Below are 25,274 nucleotides of genomic sequence, written 5' to 3'. Positions count from 1 at the left end.
ATCTCCAAACTGCCCATGTTCATTCCCGGGCATAGGCCAAGCTAACTCTACGAGGAGTTTACTTTACAGTTTAACTTTGAAACAAACAAGATAACTGCCTTTCCTGAAACAAACTCTTTCCTGGCATGGGAACAAGACCACCTTTGTAAAACTAACAAATTAGCAACCAGATTAGAAATCATGGTTTAGGAGTCATACAGCTAGATGCCTCAAGATTCCCAACCTCCTCAATTGCTCTATGGGTAATATTACTATTACAAAACCTAAAATTGGTGTTTGGGATATTTTTAAGACCCCGTATTCTGATAATCTGGCTCAACTAGTTCTGCGATCCCACCGAGGAACAGCAAGAAGCAAGACAGCAAGAAGACCCGCTTCAACCCTCTATGATTTCATCTCAGACCTGACCAATCAGCACACTCCATTCCCTAGCCTGCTGTCCACCAACTAGTTATCTTTAAAAAACTCTAGCCTCTGAATTTTCAGGGAGGGTGATTTAAGTAGGAATAACTCTGGTCTCCTGTTTAGCCGTCTCTATATGGATTAGATACTCTCTGTATTGCAATTCCCTTGACTTTGATCAATTGGCTTTATCTGAGAAGCAGACAAGATGAACCTGCTGGGTGGTTACAATAGCATTGTAGTCATTGACACATCTTTGCATCATTATTATCTGATGGCATTTTGTTAATTACTATGTTAAATGTTGGTATCTCCCCCAACCAGACTATAAGTTTGTAAATGCTTAGAGCTGATTGTCTAAATCCTATCTGAATGACAAATCTTTCATTTAAAGATAAAAAATCTTATTTTATCTTTGATGTAACCTATTCTGCTAGAATTGGGCTAAAATGAACCTTATAATGGATAGAAATAAATGAATAATTTATTATCATTCCCATACAAAAATATAGCTATTCCTGAAGCTTCTCAACTTTTAACTTAAAACCAAAATGACAAACACTTAGAAATGTTAGCTTTAGTAAATTTGCCAAGAGTGCTCTGAGATCCTAATTATAGCTAATATTCACTTCCATCATCCAATTTGTTTTCTGCTGCAGCTAACCTAAATGTAATCTCCTGAGTGTCTGCAATTTGGATCCCCTTTCCATTGAATTATAAAGGTCAAAGAACTGGATTTTTAAGATATGATAAAAGCCCATCTGAAACTGATTTAAGCAATGCAGAAATGCATTATCTTGTGAGGAAATGGGTAGAGGTTAGGCAGGTTCCCCTTCTAGCATATCAGGGGTCAATCATCCTGTATGGGTGTTTAGGAAAAACAAACTATTTTATTCTTTATACACACAACACTTCTGACACCAAATGTGTGGGAGTTTTCCCCACACCAAACAATTCTCCAATTCTCTTTAAACAATAAGCAGTGTTACACAATTCAATTAAATTCTGATACTATTTACCGAGAGCTATTTTAGACTTCACAGGTTAAGGGCTCAATTGTACAATACTGACACCCCCACCTCCCCATTTCAGATGCCAATCACAAGTCCAGGTTGTCACCTGTATTTCTAACCAATTAGCTATAAACTGGGGGTTTACACAACCCCCACCTTGCGTTTGATCATTTGTAAGAACTGCTCATAGATCTCAGGAAAACCATTTACTTCTTATATTACCAGTTTATTATAAAAGGATAGAACTCATAAACAGTCAAACAGAAGAGATGCATAGGGCAAGGTAGGTGGGAAGAGGCTGAGAGCTTCCATTCACTTTGAGTGCACCCCATGCCCAGCACCTCTGTGCATTCACCAACCTGGAAGTTCTCAGAATCCTGTCCTTTTGTGTTATTATGGTGGCTTAATTACATGGACATGATTGACTATATCATTGGTTGTTGGTGATTAATCTGTAGCTCCTCTACATTCCCCAGAGGCTGGGGAGTCGGAAGGAAAATTCTAACCCTCTAGTCACATGGTTGGTTCCCTTGGCGATGAGCAGTCTCCATCCTGTGTTTATCTAGGGCTTTCCAAAACTCATCTCATTTACATAAACTCAGGTAAACATTTTATGAATAACAAAAAACACTCCTCTTACATTTATCACCCCCATAATTTAGGAAATTCCGAGGAGTTTAGGAGCTTTGGCCAGGAAGGAGTAAAAGAATCAAATATATATTTCCCATTATAAATCACAGTATCACAACATACTGTGATACTTTAGTTGTTCTCAGCAATTGCAGATGTCACATCTGCATAGAATAATACCCAAAGTACAAGGCAGACTTGTCTCTTTAACTCTTTATTAGGAGTGAGGGATTCTTCTTAGCACTCCCCCTTTAGATTTGTCCTGATGTTTCATTGGTCCGAATCACATACCCAACCTTAAACAATTACTGCTGTAGGAGACTAAAAATACGCCACCCAATGTAGGGCTGTAGGAAACCCAAATATGCCACCCCAAAATATGTCACTTTGGCATAAAGATCATTTCGAGCTGATTATTTTGAGAAACTGCAGACATAGGAGAAACTGTAAGAGAGTAGAAGTTACCTCATTAGGAAAATGTACATCTATTAAAAAAAAATTTGTAAGGGTGTCTCAGGTTTCTGTACCAGGAAGAAAAGGATGACTCTAAACCATTAGAGACTTCTATCAATGAAGCAGGCACCAAACCTTGCTCTTGTTTACTTCTCCTGATCACTTTCCCATTAGTGTGCTTCCTCACACACTTCTTTCTGTTTCAGTTGAACATTGTATTTCAGCCTGAACTATTTCTTTGAGATTTAGTCATTTCTCTGAGTATCTCCCAATTATATAGGAGGCATACATCTTATTAAGCTTCTGTTTGTTTTTCTCTTGTTAATTTATGTATTGCTACAAGGGTCAGTCCTACCAAGGAACTGTGAAAGGCAGAGGGAAAATTAGTTTTTCCTCTACTACACTGCAAAATAGAGTGGAATCTCTGTAACTGTCCTAGGCTCATCATGATCCACTGTCTGTTCTTCTCACTGGAATCCTTTCCTCCTTAATCATGTGGAAAAAAAATCAAATAACAGAATAAAATCTAGACACTTTTAGAAAGAAGGGAAAACATGGGTTTGTGGTAGCTATCTAACAGGGTGAACTTTAGAAGTTCTCTGAAGTTTTTGCTCAAAAGAAAGAATTTTATTTGGGGAATAAATCTTAACCAATTTTGTGGCAAGAAAATGCGTTTTTTTAATGTTTTATTATTATTATTTTTTTGGAGACAGAGTCTTTCTCTGTTGCCCAGGCTGGAGTGCAGTGGCATGATCTCGGCTCACTGCAAGCTCTGCCTCCCGGGTTCACACCATTCTCCTGCCTCAGCCTCCCGAGTCGCTGGGACTACAGGTGTCCACCACCACACTTGGCTAATTTTTTGTAGGTATTTTTTAGTAGAGACAGGGTTTCACTGTGTTAGCCAGAATGGTCTCGATCTCTTGACCTCATGATCCGCTAGCCTTGGCCTCCCAAAGTGCTGGGATTACAGGCATGAGCCACCATGCCCAGCCAAATGAGGTTTATTTTTTATGTATATTAGGTGTATTAAGATTTTATATGATAAAATTAAGAAACAATGAAAATCATCAAAATTACCTTAAGAATAACATTTATTTCAAATGCTAGTTACACATATAATAAATTCAGAATCATGTTAGAGTATCACATGGAATTCTGGGGTATCCTCTAAAAGATTGAATTTTGCACCCATGAATCATCATGTCATCTGCTGACAGTTGTAAGAATGTTGCTGAAGGTTTGAAGCATTCAGGTTTATTGTTGACTAAACGGTTTTCAGGTTTGTTTATCAATAGTATTGTAGGGAAGTTTAAGTTTTTCTCTGAAGGTTTGATAACTTGAGTTTATAACACAAACTGATAATAGAGAGATTAAAAGGAACATAAGGTAAACAAGTTTATTAACATGCACATGTGTGCCTGGGAGTCATACAAAATATAAAAACTCAAAAAAAGGGGGCCAGAGTGTTGACGCTTTCACACCATCTTAAGGTTAGTGTAAATAGTAGGGTTTGGAGCATGGCAAAAGAGGTTATCGGGACAAGACAGTGAGAAATAAAAATCAAAAACTAAGCCTCTCCAGACAACTGAATGGACCCCTCACTTGTTCAAGGGGATCCCAGAAAAACTTTCGAAACTGAGTCCCTGGCCATGATGGGATGAGAGGTTTGACATGCCTCAATATGCCCCTTATTAACCTTTAACCAAATTTCTTTCTTAAGGAGTAAACAGAAGAAACCAGCTCTGGAAACAAGTAACAGATGACTCATTCCTTCGTTGCCTTGAGCCAATCATCTGGGGCCACAACTGGACTCCTCCTCTGGTTTGTTGTCCAGACATAGCAGCTGACCAACATTCCTTCCTGATAACAGACCATCAACCTGGGAGTGGTTCTGGCCAGTCTATGGAGGATGCGCAGTAAGGGTTTTCATGTCCTTTGTTCCACCTTTTGATATTAGAGACTCCAACCTCGAATCATGCTAACACCACCATTTTTTGAACATGCCACCCATGAAGGGGCATGAAGCTCCATTGTGCATACACATGTTTCGCCTTTAGTAAATTTTCATGACTCCTATGGCTTATTAAATACATACCTTCAGCCACCTACCCTGCTTGTCTAAGCATAAATTTCTGTTTCCTTCAACCATTCCTTAAGTGCTTGCTTTCAACAGCGCCAAAGGCTATGTACGCCTCCCAGCCTGTCAGAGTGGCCACCTTACAGACTTCAATGCTTTATGAAAAATAATGCTCTCCTTTCCAAATTTATGAACCTTGCAATTCTTCAATTGACAAAAGGTTAGTAGAAGTAGAGAAGAGGAAGAAAAGCATGGAGCAAAGGTGCTCTTTTTATGCAGATGAAATTTCACAGGTAGCCGCTTTCAGAAAGAAACCCTATCCTGTGGCAAACGTTTCTCTGTCAGAACTTTAAAGATGTCAAACCCTCTTTTAGTCTTTCCTAGATTTGGACAAGAGGGGAGAGCCTCAGAGAAAGCCTGGCTGTTTATTTATTTATTTTATTTTATTTTATTTTTTTGACAGAGTCTCGCTCTGTCACCCAGGCTGGAGTGCAGTGGCGCAATCTCGGCTCACCGCAAGCTCCGCCTCCCGGGTTCATGCCGTTCTCCTGCCCCAGCCTCCCAAGTAGCTGGGACTACAGGCGCCCGCCACCACGCCCGGCTAATTTTTTGTATTTTCAGTAGAGACGGGTTTTCACGGTGTTAGCCAGGATGGTCTTGATCTCCGGACCTTGTGATCCGCCCGCCTCAGCCGCCCAAGGTGCTGGGATTACAGGCGTGAGCCACCGCGCCCAGCCTGTTTATTTCATTCGTGCATATTTTCTCTACAGATGCAACTCTCCTCCATGTAAGACAACTTTACAGGACTATTCTTGTCTGTAGCCTCTCTGAGTAGCCATCTGAAAATATGGCAAAAAGTATATTTTAAGGTAAAATATTTTAAATTTCCTTTAATGTTATTTTTCCCTGGGAAAATGATAGGAATTACACTGAAATGCAAATATATGTTTTGAAAATTAACATAATCCATTTAAAATCACACACAAAGGAAAAGGTTTCAAATGTTAGACATAATTACCTATTATCTATCTATTATCTGTCTGCCATCTATCTATAATTGTATCTATATATCAATCTCATAACCATAGCCACCACCTGCAGTGTTTTTAGAATCCAAGTCCAATATTTGTCTTTTCCACCCAATCTTTTCCCTCAATTCTTCTCTGGCATTGAGTTTTATAGAGAAAATAATGTTCTTAGATTTCTGAAGCTAAGTACAGAGAGGCTTGGTAAACACTAGTTGACAAAAAAAAAAAAACCCAAAAAAAAAACAAAAATGCAATTATCCCTCAACAGCCCTTCCATTCAGCAAACCCTATCCCCTGAGTATTTAAGAGGCACTTGTGAAACTAAGCTAACCCAACCAATGCCATCTTGCTTCTAACTTCCAAGCTGTCCTTGTCCATTCCTGGGCATAGGCTGAAATAACGTTGGGAGGAACTTAGTTAATAGTTTAACTTTGAAACAAAGATGATAACAGTCTTTTCCCAAAACAAACCCTCTCCTTGCCTGGAGACTAGATTGCCTTTGCAGGACTAACAAATTAGCCACAAGATTCGAAATTACGGTTTAGGAGCCATGCAGCTAGATCAAGGTCACAAGATTCTAAAATCTCCCCAATTCCTTCTATGGATAACATCACTATTGTAAAATCTAAGATTGGTGCTTGAGATGGTTTTCATACCCTGCATTTGATGGATCAGCTGGCACCACCCAGATCAATAAACTGACTCATCTGGTCTTGTGACCCCCCACCCAGGAACTGACTCCGTGGAAGAGGAAAGTTTTGATTCTCTATAATTTAATCTCTCACCCAACAAATCAACAGTCCCTACTTCCTGAACCTCTGTTCACCAAATTATTATTTAAAATCCCAGTCCTCATCCAGGGGGGCTGATTTGAGTAATAATAGAACTCCAGTCTCCCATACAGCTGGCTCTGAGTCAATTAAATTCTTCATTGCAATTCCCTGTCTTGATAAATCAGTTCTCTCTAGGCAGCAGGCAAAGATAACCTATTGGTTGGTTACACTTGGATCTTTGGGATCTGCTTGCTATCTCCTTTCTTTTTATTAACATACAGTTTTTATCTTTATCGAAATCTCTTCCTATTTTTAGATAAGATAGGCTCAGTAAATACCTAAGGAAAACAGAAAGATCTTGGAATTAAGTGACATGATGAACATCTACTCTTTTTATTAGAATCAGGTAGCAAGTAGGTTCTTCGGTGGATATAGAAGATGATATTTCAGTCTTCCTAATTTCTTTAAAACTCAGCACCAGTTTTGGTGGAGGGAATGGTCCCAGGCTGATGAGATATGAAAGAAATTTTCTTGTACACTCCCTGAGAAATTTTGAATTAACTTGTGGTGTCTGGTCTTACTATATGGCTTAGATAGAATCTGTATCTGAAAACAATGTAAATTTTTATACCATTTATGGATAAGCAAATCTTCATTTTAGGGAACTTCAATTTCTGCATTTTATCTCTTGCCCTGGTGAGGGTGATAGCAGTGTGTGATAGTGGTGATGGCAGTGGGGCTGGGGGGTTCTTAGAGACAGATATGGAAGATAGCTAAGATGGTAAATGTCTAAGTATTGAGTCCGTGGTCACTAGAAATTTCAAGGGGTAACACAGTCACTATAAATTCCAAGGGATAACATGGTCCCCACTGTTGACCAAGTCTGAACAGCTAGATGAGAAAGATGATGACTGGTATAAAGTCTGACAATTGTTTACGAGGTGATTAGCTAATCTGAACTTCTAGTAAGGGAAGAAGTATCAGTTTAGGCACTAACTGCTTGATTAGTCTGATAAAGTAGAATCCGAACATTTTGTGGCAGCTGATCGTTCTTCATCATTAATGAGAAAAACTCATTTTCCACTGTATGAGAAAAGGGTGTGGACATTCTTATGTTTGAAAGCCCTGACCACCATCAGCCCAATCACATCCACAGAGGGCCTGTTGGGGCTCAAAAAATCATACCTGAAATTATGACACTTGGGCATTCTTTGAACTGAAGGATATTGGAAGGGCCTCAGAAGCAAGGTATCCTTCAAAACTTCTCCTGCTCTTCTTTCTTTTGCTCCTCCTCTTCCCTCAATGCAAACCATATAAACTGGAATACCTCTATCCCAAGGCAAGTCTTAATCCTAGAAATATTACTGTAACCTTCCCCCACCTTTCCATGTAGGAGCTGGCCATAAAGGAATTCTCTGACCTTCCTCGTCTAGTGGTAGGACATAAGATCCTCAGTCCAGAAGATCTACTGCCCTATATCTAGGAAGAAGTGATGCCACAGAGACAGACCAAGAAAGAATCAACACAGACAGGTCTTGCTATATTTCCTCACTCAGTCTCTTACCATGAAATAATGCTTTTTTAATCCAGTCACATTTTTACATGGCTGCCCATTTTTCATCAAATTTAAGCATAAAAATAGACAGTTTTTCCTGAGTCTTTGGGTCTTCATTTCTGAATACTCCCACACAACATAAAACTTTCATTCAATAAATGTCTTCTGCTTTTTTCTTCTTAACCTATCTTCTGTTATTGGAGTGTCAGCCATGACCTTTATGATGAGTGAAGAAAAGTATTATACCTTTTCTGCCCCTACAGACCAAACAGGAGTCAGTATGGAAGGGAGGAGAGAAAATTGAAGTTACATCTGCTGAGGGAATAGAGGAATTCTGAAGCAAGGCACAAAATATGTGCATGTAAATTTAAAAATAAATATTTTTATTTCAAGCCAGTGTCCAAAATCTATTGAAATAAAATTCAACAGAAAGGAATTTAAACAATAATACTATTTATTGAGTCTATAATGTATAGCATTGAATTAAGAAACCTGTAACACTTTCTGTAATATGTCTTTGACTAAATAGTAGCTACAAGTCATTGAGAACTTACTGACAGACACTATGCCATGTGATTGACATATATGATTTAATTCAAGTTTAAACAATCATAAGATATAGAGGCTTTAATTATCTCCATTTTACATGTATAACAACTGAGGCTCAGATGGGTTAAAAACTTTGTCTGAGATCACCAAGAGTTGTAGCTAGAATTCTTAGCAACATCTAACTCCAGAGCTGACACATGTAACTAGTTTGCTATACTGCTTAAGTAGTTTAAGGAAATACTAATGTTAAAATCGAGTTAGATTTGTTTCCCCCAAACACATGAACTATTTTCTCCTTCAATTTCCATGCAAATTCTCTAATAAGCTCCTAAATATCTACATTTACACGAAATTCAGATTCAAATGTAATGCAGTGGTCATGCTACTTGACAGCAATCTTGCCAATTAAGCAGCAGTCCTAATTGGAAGAATTTTGTACTGTGCATACACATTCGCTGTGTTCTCAGCTTGCAGCTGCTGGCATAGACATCATTAGAATCTAGGAAAACAACTATTTCCAAGTGAACATCAACATAATGCAAAACACGATAAGTCAGGAAGTGAATAAATTTGAATAAAAGTTAGCAAATGGGTAAACAGACTGTAATAAGACAAAGTGGAATGTTTTCTGAGGTCCAATGTCAAAGTTGCTCATGAAAAAGAGGAAGTTAGATATTTAACAGAAATGAATAATGAGAAATTTTGTTTCACATTTTATGTAACAGAAATTACAAATATGTTGCCTATTTTACTTTGGTCTTATTTCATTTCGGGGGTGTTTGTGTGTGTATGGTTTAGTACTTAGATGACAGAATACTCTCTCGTATGTTTCATGGCTTTTTCTAACTTCTCTCAGATAATATATCACTTGATGGGCATTGTACATGAACTTTTATTTTTCTCAAAGCAACACTATCATAGTTCTTCCCTGGATGACAAGGTTGTTCGTTTTATAACCTGAGATGAGTAGAGAAGAAAATATATATTGAAAACTTTTTTTTTATTTAGTGTGTCCATTTAAAGCTTAACTGTTTCCCCTTCTCCCTATTTCTTGATTTTTTTTTGCTGTGGAAACTAGGCAGGCACTAAATGATATTTAATAGAGTTTTTATTCATAACTAATATCGATTTATAATACATTATTTTTGCTGATATTTATTCCAGCAAAGAAAACAAGCTGCAGCACTCTTTTTCTCCCTATTCTGCTTCCTACATCCCTCCCTTAGAGTGATTAATCTAAGAAAATGCTGTCATGTTTCCTGTGATTGGTGGTGAAGATGCACTTCCTACTGCTTCATTTATTGCAGATCGTAAATATCCCCATTCATTTTTTCACTTCATTCCCTCTAAACATTTATTCCCAGCCCACACCACGGAGACCTGTTTTGATCTACACCTCTGTTTCCTCCTGGCTTTCTTCCAACTTTAACACAGCATTTTTTTTTTCTAATTACCTTGCTTTCTCTCTCTTCAATTTTAGTTAAAATATCTTGAAGAGCAGTGGGAATTCACTGCCTCCACTTCCTCAGCTCTAGTTCCTGTCTCCTGCAGTCTGATTTCTCCACTGAAACTTGCAGGTGAAGCTGCTCTTGTAAAGCTCAACAATGGCCTCCATCCAATAAAAATGTTTCAATAATTGCAGGTTTCCCTGACACATTACACTCTATTGAACACTCTTTATTTATTGACATTTTTCACTCACTAGCCATCAACATTCCTACACTCTACTGTTTGTTCTCACACATGGTCAGTGGTATACACTGGCCATGTGTTCTCTGTCTTGCTAGGATTCTCTAACTCTTTTCACTCTGCAATTATGTTTGCTCCTGTGTTTCTATCCTTAATATATTTTTCTGTCTACATATTCCCTTTGTGCAGTCTAATTCATTCTCATGTTTTATATACCTAACATGCTTGAAAAAATATAATGATGTCACATACCCATAGTATCATCATGCTGTCAGCCATACCACACAAATTAAGCTCTTATTATGTGAAGAAGTTATACATGGCACCAAGAAATTTCATATTTTGACTCTTATTATTTGTTGGACACAATATTAGTCTCTTTAACTCTTTACTGTAGCCCTCTGAGAAAGGGTTGATAATTCCTAATGTTATAAATAAAGAAACCCAATCTCAGAGAACACAAGTAAATTTTTAGATAGTATCACTGGTTATTGCAAAGACAAGATTGAGAATGAAATTGTTCTGACTGCAAAATTCATGATCTTTTCATTATACAATTTTTATCTTTCTAGGCTTTATGATCAAAGGGCGTACATTCTTGCTGAGTAGATATAGCATATAAGGACTTGGTATTCAAGGCTTCTGTGAGGTATAAGCTACCCCTTCACTGATCTCTACACAATCATGTTCATGCCAACCTTCAAATCTTTCTTTGCCTGAGAAATGGTGAAGAATTATTCAAAGGTTATCAAATTTTAAGTCAGCTCACCTGTTCATCTTCCATAAAGCCTTCTCTAGCTCTTTCTACTATTATTGAGTACTTGCTCCCAATTCTGAATTCTTATAAGCATCTTCTTTCAGCCCAAATTCTAGAATATCTATTTTTGGTGCTCTTCCATTTCTTGCTTTTTTGGAGGGGAGAATAGAATTTTCATAAAATTAGAAACCTGTAGAAGCTTGTGATGGTTAAAGACTTTGTCTTTGACACTATATCTGGAAAAGGGCAAGCAAAGAACTATCACTCAATAAATATATTGTTAATTTTATTAAATTTAAAATTGAACTAAATTGCTTTGTGACCTCTTTTAATTCTGGAAGATGAAAGAAAAGCTTAGTAATGTAAAACTAATGCTGATGTGCAAGGGAAAGCAACAAATGATTGATTATGCAAGTCTGTAAGAGGAAGTGTTTTTGCAGCTATTCCTAGCTCAGTAAATCAAAAATAGCTTGCCAGATGTGACTCTCAGTTTTCCATAAAATTTATGATTTTCTATATACATTTAAAAAGCAAAGAAAGAATTTTATAGATAGTAAAAACCTCCAAAAATTAGACCAGCCATTTTTCCTTATTTCCTTCTTTCTTTTCTTCCTTCTTTACTATCTATCTTTATATTTGTGTAAAACAAACTTGAGTTTGGACATTTAACTAAGTTGGGCAACTTTTCAATTGCTGAACAAACAGACTTCAATATTGCAAGGATTTGCAATGCTGATTCAATAACAATAAAGAGTTGAACTTGGTGAATTTGGAGGTCCCTTTCAATTCCATGGTCCTATAATTTTGTTAATGCAGTTTTAGGGTGCAGAGAACAGCACCTGAGAGTGTTGGCATGCTGAATGCTTTGAATTAAAAGAAATCAGAAGGCCATAAATGCTGCCTCAGAAACAAAAACTTTCTAAACTTTTATTTTTTCTTTCCCACCCAAGAGCAGGAAGGAATGCTCTCTGGATATATATATCTCTGGATATATATATATATATGTGTGTGTCTGTGTGTATGTATGTATGTGTATATATGTATATATATACACATACATACATATATATACACACACATATATATATCTCCACATACACATATATAATTTATATAATTTTTTTTTGAGACAAGGTCTTCCTCTGCCACTCAGGCTGGACTGCAATGGTGTAATCACAGCTCATGGCAGCCTTGACCTACCAGGCTCAAGTGATCCTCCTGCATCAGCCTCTTAAGTACCTGGAACTACAGGTGCATGCTACCATGACTGGCTTTTTTTTTTTTTTGTAGAGACAGGATCTCACTATGTTGCCCAGGATGGTCTCAAACTCCGAGGCACAAGTGATCCTCCCTTCTCGGCCTTCCAAAGTGCTAGATTACAGGCATAAGCTACCATGCCCAGCCTGGATTTTTTTTTTTATCTGACGAACACGCCTTGTTTGTAAAATAAATGTAATTGTCTGGAGACCCCCATCATAGGAATCTCATGAAATAAGTAGGAAAGATGAACTACTACAGAAAATAAATTAAAAACTGTCAGCAACTGCAAACAGACTTTTCATCTATTCTTCTAAGGGCAATTCTGATTATCTGGGAGTCTTTATTTGCATGAAAACACAAACTTTCTTCACAGTGAAGTCTACCCCTCACCTTCCCACCACCTGCCCCAGGGTGCAGAAGAACTTTGTTTCTGGCCATTCTTCTTTGGGCTTATTCATTTTATCTGAAAATTATTTACTACCCCTAAAATTACTGACAGACCCCCATTTCACTCTAAGATGGAAGAGGGGATTTAAGCCTCAACCATCTGGCCTTGGTTTGAGTATCATATTTGCAGGACTCCATGTCCATATATATGTAAATACATTTATATGACTTTTTCTCCTATTCATCTGTCTATTGTCAGTCATTCTAGTGAACCTTCAGAAAGGGTTAATGGGGCTGGACCTGGTGGCTCACACCTATAATCCCAGCACTTTGGGAGGCTGAGGCAGGTGGGTCACTTGAGCACAGGAGTTTGAAAAAAATAGCCAGGCATGAAGATATGTTATTATACTTCCAGCTACTCAGGAGGCTGAGGTGGGAGAATCACCTGAACCCAGGAGGTCGAAGCTGCAGTGATCCATGACTGTGACAATCCATTCTAGCCTGGGCAATGGGGTGAGACCCTGTCTCAAAAAACAAAAACAAACAAACAAACAATCAAAAAAAGAGAGTGAATGGGAAGCTTTTCCTCTGCACCTACATTTTTAATCACCACATGCTAAATATTCCATAAAACCTAAATTCCAATTTGAACTTGATGGCTCTCAGTATTAGCAAACTTTACTTTGCAGCTTATCTGTATTTTCAATATCCATATATTAATTAATTTTTATTTAGTCCCTCAGGTAATAGTTTCTTCCCCTCTACAGTGCCTTCTGCCCGGACGAAACTGTTTTGCTTCTGCCACAGGATTACGCACCTTCAAAATAATATTATAAGATGAGAATCACCCATAAAAGTATTTTAGTTCTTTACATTACTTTAAAAATCTACTCACCTGAGTCAGCATTTTAAGTACAGTCAATTTGCTTATGTTCTCATATATTATCTTCAGCTATATTTTAGTACAATGAGTTTCAAAACTGTGATGTTTGCAGAATTCATCTAGGGCATTGGTAAAAAGACAGGTTCTTAGGCAATCCAAAACATTTCTAGCCAATAGCTCTTAGGAAGAGTTGAAATGCCTAAATTTTCATTAAGGACCCTGTGTAATTATGATGCTGGTGATAGTATTGTCTCTGGAGCAAACTTTGAAAAATTTGGATCCTCACCGTTTATCCTTCATAAATCTTTTCATGCAGTAGAGTCAAGAATTTAACTTTAAATACCACAAAATATCAAATATCACAGTGATAGTTGTAAATTCAGACGTTTTTCTTGTGTGTGGTGACATGATACTCTTACCAGTGCAAACCCTTATTTCACCCCAAAATTATATATTGAAATTCACATTGAGAAATTATATTTGAGTATTTATAAAATTGTTCATGATCTTATATAGTACACTATTCATTATTAAGGATTTAATTGATATGCTGGCTAATTATGATATTACATAATTACTAATTAATGTGCTTATTAGCAATGGATGTCTCTAAGATCCTGATGTCAACGGAGATGACAACTCATGCTGGAATACTGCCTTACAAGATAAAGTACATTAAGCCAAGCTCCTTTTGGCAATTCAGAATCTAAATGTTATTGCCTGGAATCCAGGATACAATTGCCTTATTATAGCAAACTCTGGCCTGTAGTAAATCCAATTAAAGCATATTTCTAGTTTACTTTAAGGCTTAATTGTAGTGCATTTAGTTATAAAGCTCAATACATCAAAGAATCAAAGTTCAAAACAATAAAACCAGAAGAAGGACAAAAAAAATGATAAAAAGGATAAAAATACAGCTCTTATTAGTAAAGATTAGACTAATACAATCTTCAAATTAGAAATCACCTTTGTGGTTGTCCAGTATCATCTGCTTTACAAAGAAAGAATTTCCTTTTTGTAGTCATCCATTTTCTAAACATGGCCAGAGGCAAGGAGGGATCTAATCCATGCTTCTCTTGAAGTAGTCTTATCTCCTGGTAGATAGCAGTAAACATTAGACCTATCTTCCTTATATTTAACCAAAGATGGCATTCCTATACTTTTCTAACTGGAATTGATCATGAAATAACTCTGTATCCTATCTCTTACGGCAGGAGGGGTAGAGGTGGGGATATGTGGAGTGGGCTGAACTAACATTAATATTTTATCTTGTGTACTAGATATTTGAAATGTATTGAGAATTTCTCTTTTTATTTGATTCTGTTTTATTTGATTCGACTATGAAGAAGATATCCACATCCACCCCCAGCCGTAATTTAGAGATACAGAGTCTATGACTTGGAGAAGTTAAACAGCCTGTTCATGGTCATAACTTACAGGGATGAGAGTCAGACTAGAACCTGGATCAATTTAATTAATCCTTTTAGTTAATCCTTTTAACTTCTTCAGTTACTAATGGATTGAGAGCTGTCAATCAGCCTTTACTTCTTTACATCTATTATATTGTTGGGGCTCATAAGATAATACCATAATGCTGAACACTTTTGAAATAAAATTCCCACCCACCCCTAAGAATCTCATTAAATAACCAGGAAATATTAACCTCCAGAGAAGACAAAAAACTAAAAGTCCTCACCATATCCAGGTAGACTTTTCATCTATTCTAAGACCAGCCCCAAGAGATTATCTGGGAGAGTTTATCTTCATAATAAGACCTTTGTTCACAGTGCAGTTCCACCCCTCATCTTTCCTATGACTTGCAGGTCCCATTCAGTCCAAAGAGAATAATTTACAAACTATTGTCTGCTCTTTGGGCCCATTCATCTCTTTTAAAAATAATTTAATACTTCTCAAAAACGGCTTACATTCTCCAATCTCCCTTCCCCCATGAAGAGGGTTCTACTTAAGTTTCATTCATCTGGGCCTTCTTTGAGTCTCATCTTCTGTATTGCTCTTCTGCTTACGCACATTAATGCATTTGTATGTCTTTTCTTCTATTAAACCATCCATTGTCAGCTTATTTCACCAGGCTTCAGTCCTCAGAGTAGGAGGGAAAATTCTCTTTACCCTTAAATTGTACCATGCACTATTTTAAGTACTGAATATGTACTGGTGAACAAATCACATAGTTTCTAATTTCAAAACATTTATTCTCTAGTGGAATAAACAAATATAAACTATGTATAAAATATAGGTTAACAAAGATCATATAAATGCATCAGTGATAGATACTGTGAACGAAATAAAGAATGAATAAGTAGGGAAACATTTAGGTAGAACTCTCGAGGAGTTTTTTCACAGAAAGTAACATCTGAGCTGGGGCCTCAGGGAGGAAGTTGGCGGGAGGAAGGAGTAAGAACATTCCAAGAACAATTTCAAATGTGAAACTTTATTTCAAAGTTTGAAAGCTGGTAAAAACCATGCTCAAGGAATTGAAACACCACCAATGTGGCTGAAACAAAGCGCCTAAAGGGGAGAGTGGCTAGGAAGGCAGGCTTCCTAAATCAAGGAATTATCTACCGCTCACTCTCCTCCCTACCACTTTTCTTAAACATTTCTCTACGGCAGTGATTACCAAGTAGCCCAATGCCTGACCTTCTGGGAGTCACACAGCCTTCTTCATCATAATCAACACTCATTCTCAGAATCTCAGTGCCGTAACTCTTCTGTTCTGGGCGATACCAAGTTCAATTTTAACGAAGCTCTTTTAGTTCCAAGAAACAGACACAGCCAGACCAGTCTGAAAATTTTTATTTTCTGAAAAATGTAACTTGTAAGAACACACGTAGAGCAAAAGGGAGAAACTTGGAAATTTTTACGCAAGTAAGCCAGGCTGAACCTCCTAATGCATGAGGACTGGGCTGGTCCTTGTTTCACAGGGTGGACTCTAGAGTCGTCCTTGCATCCCAGAATTTGAGACCTAATCCATGATTAATCTTGAAACTGCTCCAGTGTGTTTGAGAGAACAGGCATTCTCTAACTGACGCAAAGTTGTATGTATGTCCATTTATATTAAGCTTAATTATATTGCCCCAAATTTTCTATAACTTTCCTAATTTTCTGTATTGTACTTATCAATATTTAGGAGAGAGATTTATTGAAGTCTCTCATTCCAATGGTAGATGTGTCAATTTTCCAATTTAATTTGTATTAATGTTTGCTTTATATCATATGAACCCATTTTATTATTTGGAGATATTTAGAATTGTTATAGCTTTACAGTAAGTTAAATGTTTTTATAATCTAATAACTTTCTTTCCAATATCGATTTTATTTAAAAATTGAAATATGTAATATTAATATTCCTATGCAAGTCAGTGTTTGATTAGTATTTCTGTATAGTATCATTTTCCTCTATAATTTTCTTTTTAATCTTTCCATGTGTTTATATTGAAGGTTTGTATTTTGTTAATATTGTTAGTTTTTATTTTTTAAATCTAAGAATCTCTGTTGTTTAACTGGCAAGTTTATATTTATTACCATTATTGATATATTTTTCTCTATTTAAAATGATTTAACAGAACCCAAAATCTTAAACTAGTTTTAATGTAGGTATCATTGATTGCTAATGGGGAGAAAAGAGAGGTATATTCATAGCTTTGTGTTTTCTGATAACTCTTTAAATTAATATAATTATTAAATTTATTCAACCTTTTTTTTTTGGTGACAGCCTGTCACCCAGACTGGAGTGCAGTGTTGCAATCACAGCTCAACCTCTCAGGCTCAAGTGATCAACCCAAAGTAGCTGGGACCACAGGTGTGCACCACCATGTCCTGCTAATGTTTTTTTCTTAATTATTTTGGTGGAGCCAGAGTCTCATCATGTTGCTCAGTCTGATCTCAAATTCTTGGGCTCAAGGAATCCACCCCCTGCCTGGCCTCCCAAATTGTTGGGATTATAGGTATGAGCCACTGCATCTGGCTTATTCAATCTATTTTTAAGTTCACCTTTGTCTACTTAATAAAGCGATTAGTGTTTTCAAATAATTTTTGTTTCACTTAATTTATTGTAATTTTTAGTCTATGAAAAACATTGAACTATGCTCTGGGGCTATAAAGGGGAAAAATGCAATGTCATTTCGCTCAAAGAGAAAAGAGATGTTTGTATTCTAATAATACTTATAATTTATATACAAACAGTATTTATAAATCAATGGGCCATTATTATAAGGTAGTTTCTCTAAGTACTTTTACATTTACTCTTTAGAGAGTTTTAGCTGCAGTGCCTTTAAAGTGGCGATTTGATTTCATTAATTTTACATAAATAATGATGTATTTCAGGGATTTTTTTAATGCAAAGTTCTCTGATAGCATAATCACTATAATCTCAATAGACAGTGGGCTGGCTGCTTGACACATGGTGTTAAACATGACAGGTACACTCTATGTTCTCATACAGCTGAGAGAGTTGGACAAAAGATTCCAGATCAACAAATAACTGTAGGAGTATAGTGAAACTATGGGAACATGTGACACAAATCATTTACCTAGTTTGAAGTTTAGGGAAAGCTTTCTGAAGGAGCTGCTAAGTAGACTCAGGTCTAAATAATGAAAAGAAGTTAATTTAATAAAAATTGGGGAGGAAGAGCATTCTAGGCAAGGACACTAGGCTATGTGAAGACTGGAGAATGCAAAGACCATGGGAAATTTGAAGTAATAAATAGAGCCCAGTGAAGAGAAAGATGGGGACAAGCTAAAATGGGTGAGGTAGACAACAGAGAAATCATGCAGGGCCAATCAGAATCCACGAAGGATTTTACATCGAAACTATTTCTCCATTTTTAGGGCGCTACTTATTTTCTAGGGCTAATGCAAATGTAAAGATGAAGAATCCTGGTAATTCATATACACTGTTTTTGACCCAGCCAGAAAAATAATCAGCCTACGGAAGGAGCTGGCCCCCTTGAGTCAGGCACAGTGGGTGATGGTTAATAGCTATGTCTTCCTCGTGGAACACTGGGGTTCTCATTTATTTGAAAGACACAAAATGATTCTCACATACAGATACTACTATCTGGCTACATAAGTTCTCCCCCACTGCATAGATGCTTTCTTGGCCTCTGAGATGTTTGCCTTAATGAACTGCTGTTCTTTCAACAGTTCTGGTTTCCCAGCAATTATTTCACCCAACAATTGGCTCTTAAAGTTCAATAATTCTCCTTTCCACAGCATGTGTTTGAGAAGCAAAACACACTCTCACACTACGCTCTGACACTGTATCTTTCTAGCAACATCGTACCAGGCAGCAATCTCGGTCAGCACATATGTTAGACACTTGTTTGGCAGCAGGGAACAGCATTGTTATATGCTGAACAGTCACTTGACTTGGCATGCATTTCTCAGCACATAACACCCTTCTAATGTCTTTTGGCTTGCCAATATGCCTACTAGAATTCAAGTTTTATCAGTTACTCAAAATATTATGCATTCATGGTTATTTCACAATAACCATGAAAATCAAGGAATTCATTTTGATATGTAAAATTCCACTTAATGTGAATAGAGACAGTGACTTTATTTGGAGATAGGTTCTTGCAGATATAGTTAGTTAAGTCATATGGCAGCATGATAGGCCCCTAATCCAATATGATTGTTATCTGGTGTCTATATAAAGGGGAAACTTGGAGACAGACACACAGAGAGAGAAGATTATGTGATGAGACTCAGGGAAGACAGCCATCTACAAGCCAAAGAGAGAGGCCTTGAATTCATCCTTTTCCTAAAGTCTGCAGGACAAACTAACACTGCCACCACCATGATTTTGGATTTCTAACCTCTAGCACTGTGAAAAAATAAATTTCTGTTGGTTAAGCCATGAGTTTGTGATACTTTGTTATATTAGTCCTAGCAAATTGATACAGCAGTATTGTGGTTTCCATTTCTAAATTCACGGTGACAATCTTTCCTACAGGTATCCAATGATTCATACAATCTGAATCTCTCATTTCAGAAAAATAATCTATGGGCTGTTAATTTATACCAAACTATAAGCTATTTTAGGAAATGTTGCATTTTTAAAAGATCACCTGGAAAGCATTATTTTTAAGAATTGTCAGTATCAGTGAATTGTTGTGGTAATTTTCTTGGAAGAGGGATACCTGATATTCCTCAATCAATTCAAGTCACAATGTATGGTTAATACTGAGGTTTAGTTCAGGACTTCAGTTGAAGGAATATTTCAGGGCGAAGACTGCGGGGCAAAGCAATCTCTTTTTGATACATAATTGGTGCCAGTATATTTACATAAACATGTCCAGTTGGAACAGACTTGGGAACAAATTAATTCCAACCAAAAAAAAAAAACAATTTGTCACTAATTGTAAAAACAATTGACAGAAAGATTGTACAGCCTGCTGCTCTCATATAAACAGTGAAATTACCTTAGCTGTGACAAGTAAACAATGAGAAAACAGTAGCTCTAATTAGCATTTTGACATCTATGCATTATGGAAAACTCTGAGAATAATATAATGCTTTAATAAGGTATATTTTGGATTACTCGTACTTGAAGTTATCAAGCAGTATTTTTGTGTCTAATAGCTTCATTGCCATAGTCACATTAATTTATTGGAAAGAGTCAAAATACATATACCAGATTAATAGCACATCACAGGATTTTGAAAATATCTTCTAACCAGCAACTAAGAAGCATACACATATACTTCTGATTTTTGCATGAACACCTACGCAGATAGAGATTCCACAGTGGCTCTTAGTAACCAATGCTGATGTTAGTAAATTTGAAGTTCAACCATCAGAAACCTCATGGATCTTATATCCTACTTTCCTTTCTTCTTGTCCCTGCAGGGTGGAAACAACTAACAAAATGTAAACGCAAAATAATCATTATTGGACAGAATATTAAAAACAAAATCTCAGGCTTTAACCTTCTATTATAAAATAAAAATGACTAATTCTTTTATTCAACACTTATGTAGTGAGGGCTAAAAGGGGTCAGGCACTATTCTAAGTGCTGGAGATATAGAGGTAAAGAGACAAAGTCCTTCAGCTTCTCTTAGTGACACATGTTCTAGTGAGAGACAAAGGCAATATAGAAAAAAAAAGTAAAAAAAAAAACCTTTAGGTAATAATGAGATCTCTGAAGAAAAATATTGTGAGGGAATGGAAAGGAAGGGAGTTGGGTTTGGGATGGCGAGTAATTGAGAGTTAGTATGGTCAGCAAAGTTCTCTGAGTAGGTATATGAATGATGTGATGTAACACACCACACGCAGTTCTATGCAAAGCATTTCCCAGATGGAGGGAATATTAAATATAAAGTCTCTAAGGCAGAAAATGCTTAGGTCTTAGAAGATAAACAAGAAGTCCAGTGTATGGCTGGAGAAAAATAATTAAGAGGGAGAGTGTCAGGGGAGGAGATCAGAGACATGGACAGGGATCAGAGCATGTATCTCAGCCCCACTGGTATATTCAGCTTAATCATCATATTTAATTAAAAACTAGAATAAGAGTATAATGTATGTAATACATGCTGCTATGGTTTGAATGTTTCCTCCAAAATTCATGTTGAAACTTAATCCCTAAATGTAGAAAGATATGGAAAGGTGGCAGTATTGAAACGTGGGGCCTTTAAGAGGTGATTGGATCATCAGGGTTTTGCCCTCATGAATGGATTAATCCACTCGTAGATTAATGGATTAAACGGTTAATAGGTTAAAGCATTATTATGGGAGTGGAGCTGAAGGCTTTATAAAAAGAGAAAAAGAGACCTGAGCTGGCACATTAGCTCCCACAGCACATGATATTCTGTGTAGCCTCTGGACACTGTAGAGTCCCCTTCAGCAAGAAGGCTCCCATCAGAGGCAGCTTCTTGACCTTGGACTTCTCAGTCTCCGTAATTGTACAAAATAAATTTCGTTTTAAAATAAATTATTCAGTTTCAGATATTCTGTTATAAGCAACAATAAAAACGGATTAAGACATATGCTTATCAAATGTTAACATTGAAAAATATAGGAAAGATCTCTATTCTCTAAAGGACAGAATAACAAATCAATATGAGTTAATGGAAAATTTCCTATAGCATAAACTCAATGGAGCCACTAACTGTATACTGGTGGGAAGTAGCTCAGTTAATATACACAGGCCTTATTCTCTCTATCCCTGAAAAAAGGGGGGATTGGATTATATTATTGTACATTTTTTCAGCTTTGAGAATTGAAGAATTTAGATAATTTTCCTTTTGTAGATTGAAGCAATAGCTTAAATTCAGTAAGATGAAATATAGTAGGAACAAATAGAACCATATTTGTCTTTAAAATTTTAAATTATATGTCAGAAGAAAGAGTCTAGAAATCCTTGAAAATCTCTAGGAAGTTGCAACTAATTTTAGGTTTCAGAAAAATAACATGATCATAAAGGAAAAAATAATATCATAAAAATCTAGCACACTTTGATTTAAGGCTATAAGGCTCAATTTATATCTAATTTTAACATTCTCTAATCCAGTGATTTTTTTATGACATTTCCAAATATTTTATTTATTATATTGCATCCTGGACCTATTCTGTTTTTTCTTTTGAGATAAAATTCACATACTATAAAATTTAACCTTTAAAGTACAAAATTCAGTGGCTTCAGTATATTTACAAGGTTGTTAAACATAACCACTATTTTATTCCAGAACATTTTTATCAATCCCAAAAGAAACATTGTGCCCATTAGCAGTCAGTCATCTTTTCCCTCACCATCCTCCCTAGGCAAACATTAATCTGTGTTCTATCTCTGTGAATACGCCTCTTCTGAATATTTTCTATAAATTGAATCATATAATATGTGGCCTCTTTGACTTAGTGCGATGTTTTCAAGGTTAATCCATGTTGTAGTACATATCAGTGCTTCTTCCTATTCAGGCATGAATAATGTCCCACTTTATGGATATGCCACATTTTATTTACCATTTGCCAGTTGATAGACATTTAGGTTGTTTCCACTTTTTGGCTGTCATAGATAATTCTACGAACATTTATACACAAAGTTTTGTGTAAACATATATTTTTTAGGAGTAGAATTGCTGTACCTTACGGTAACTCTTGTTAAACTTTTTGAGGAACTACCAAACTGTTTTCCAACACAGCTGTATCATTTTAAATTCCTTCCAACTAGCAAATGTATGAGACTTCCCATGTCTCCATGTTCTTGCTCCACCCTCTAACGTATTTTTGGATTAATCAATAGATATGCTTTGGAAGAGATGAAATATTGAATTTTATTTTTAAGATCATAGGATAATGAAATTCAAATTTAGAGAAATTTAAACTATTTTACAAACAAACACTTTACTGCAGCTGTTTACAAAATTAGTCTCTGTTAAGATAAATGCAAAATAGCAAGCCATGTGGATGCTATTATTGACTCTTACCATATTTGCTTAATCTGCAATATGCTCAGAATTACTCTGTGTATCTCTTCATGATTCAGGGTCATCCTATATGTCTAATAGTCTGTCCCAGAGAAAAAAAAATGTATAGATAATGCCTATGACATCTCAAAGTGAATATCAGCAGGGCATGACTGCTGGGTAATAAAAAGATGAAACAGATAAAGATTGGGGCATATTGCTAGATTAGTGTAGGACAGAATAAGTAAATTAGGCTTGGCTGACAATAGACAGCCAACCCAAGTTGGAGTATTCTAATCCCAAATTAATTTCTCAGGTATATGATCAATATCAGGAAGCCAAAAGGTATCAAGATGCTCCAAAAGGACTGTAATGATTTGTGAGAAGGCAATCAGAAGATATTCAGAATTTCAGAAAGATTGTTTTTTGGCAAAATTTGAAAAATAAGTAAATAGCTCCCTGCCCCGGGATGAGAATTTCTGGCAGTGTTTTATTTCCTAAGACCTGGCAAAATTGTCATTGTCTTAGGATAGGTGTGAAATACTAAGGAAGTTACAAGAAAAAGCATGTGTAAAAGGATCCCAAACCAAAGCTAAACAATAAGAATTATGGCATAATGTGTGAACATAAGCTAATCTTAGGCATAGAGACCTCATTATCTGAATAAGAGCATCAATATGAAAAGCATGACCTAGCAGTCGTTGGTGAGCAATGGCTTTGCTCCAGGTTAGAGGGAAGCAGATTAAAAGCCCTGAAACTCAGGGCTGAGTCCTGAGGCCTGGGGTATCACTGGTTGGTCTGATAGGGGGTAGGGGGTTGACCCAGGAAAAACCGTTTGTCTGTAGTAGACTTGAAAGTGTCATTCTACTTGCATTCTATATATGTGGGAAAGTCACTTAAATCTAAGTCTTACTGAGTTTAAAGTTACTTTAGTTCTTTTTTTTTTTTTTTTTTTTTTTTTTTGAGATGGAGTCTCGCTCTGTCGCCCAGGCTGGAGTGCAATGGCTTAATCTCGGCTCACTGCAACTTCCACCTCCCGGGTTCAAGTGATTCTCCCACCTCAGCCTCTTGAGTAGCTGGGATTGCAGGCACCTGCCATCATGCTCAGCTAATTTTTGTATTTTTGGAGAGATGGGATTTCACCATGTTGGCCAGGCTTTAGTTCTTTTCTCTAGTTTGCTGTATTCTGGAAATAGGAGAAACATTAAAACTCTGACTGAGAGAGTAGGGTTTAATCCTTGATAGAAGTAAAGCAGAGGTAGGGGAAAATAAGGAAAGGGCTGCTAATATCTCCAGGGTATTACATTTAAAGTGAAAACAAGATTATGGGCATGTCATGGGAGATGCATTTTATCTCATCCTTGTTTATTTCTATTTTTTCACCTCCTTATCACCACAACCAGACACCCACATCCATTTGTTAACCACGATGGTCTTATTATTTCATTCTTGTTAATGTCTTATACCTGTCTCCTCTATTTTCCACCTTCAGTGCTTCAGCACCTATTATTTTTTTATTTATAGCAACTCCGCAGATTTCAAAGTCACCTCTCTAATACCAGATTTCCCAGTCCATCCCACTCTCTCTTCTCATCAATTTCTGCCACACTGCCTGAAAGATATTATAACACCCCAAACTGTTCCCATTATTTCCATGATAAAAATCCTTCAGAAGTTCTACATCATTTGAAGGATAAATTCCAAAACTCATAAGCATTATGTCTAGATTTGACCCCAATCAGCTTTCAGCCTCATCACATGAGGAGCCTTTTTTCATTCCATATTCTTGCTACACCAAACTAATTAAAAGTTGCCTAAAATAAGAAAATTATTTTGCTAGATGCTGAGTATTTGCATTTGCTGTTTCTGTTTCTTAGAAAGATTTTGCCTCCTGATCCTTTATCACTGTTAACTTTTAAGAGCTTTCCACTGTTATACAGAACATATCACAGCATATTATAATTTCCCTTTGTCTTTTTGGTTTAATTGCATCAATATCACTGTCACCTCTAGGATGTGAGCTCCATGGAAGAATAAATTGTATCTTATCTATATTTATTTAAATATATATGTGCTTGCCCCTTAGTGAGTGTTCAATAACTCTTTGAATGAGGTAAGCATGTATACTCCAATGTATATACAATGAAGATTTAGATTTAGAGCTTTCTTTTAGGAATGTGGATCTTTAGAACCTGTACGATCGAATTGCATGACATCATTTAGCATGACATGTTAGTAAGCCTTCTGTGCTTTAGTTTTCTCATATGTCAAATGGGTTTAATAAATATAACTGCCACATTAGATTAATTTAAGAATTAAATGAAATGAGATAAATCATGCAAAGGCCTGATAAAATGTCTGACACACAGTGAACAGGCAACAAATAATTTTGATGATAG

General features: G+C 36.4%; 1 long non-coding RNA gene across 6 annotated transcripts in view; it reads left to right on the top strand.

The window, feature by feature from the left end:
- The first annotated feature begins 16,164 nt into the window (after positions 1–16,164).
- Positions 16,165–25,274, top strand: part of LOC105369468 (uncharacterized) — a 383,452-nt gene continuing 374,342 nt past the window's right edge. The window contains exon 1 of one of the 6 annotated variants that reach the window (XR_007062870.1): positions 16,165–16,509. This is a non-coding gene — a long non-coding RNA (uncharacterized LOC105369468). Of the gene's footprint in view, positions 16,514–25,274 lie in introns of all 6 variants that reach the window. The other 5 variants (XR_947973.2, XR_001748358.2, XR_001748356.1 and 2 more) reach the window with 5 other exon arrangements.

This window comes from Homo sapiens, chromosome 11 (genome assembly GCF_000001405.40).
Source record: "Homo sapiens chromosome 11, GRCh38.p14 Primary Assembly".
Classification (NCBI taxonomy): Eukaryota; Metazoa; Chordata; class Mammalia; order Primates; family Hominidae; genus Homo; species Homo sapiens.
This window is presented reverse-complemented; position numbering and strand designations above follow the sequence as displayed.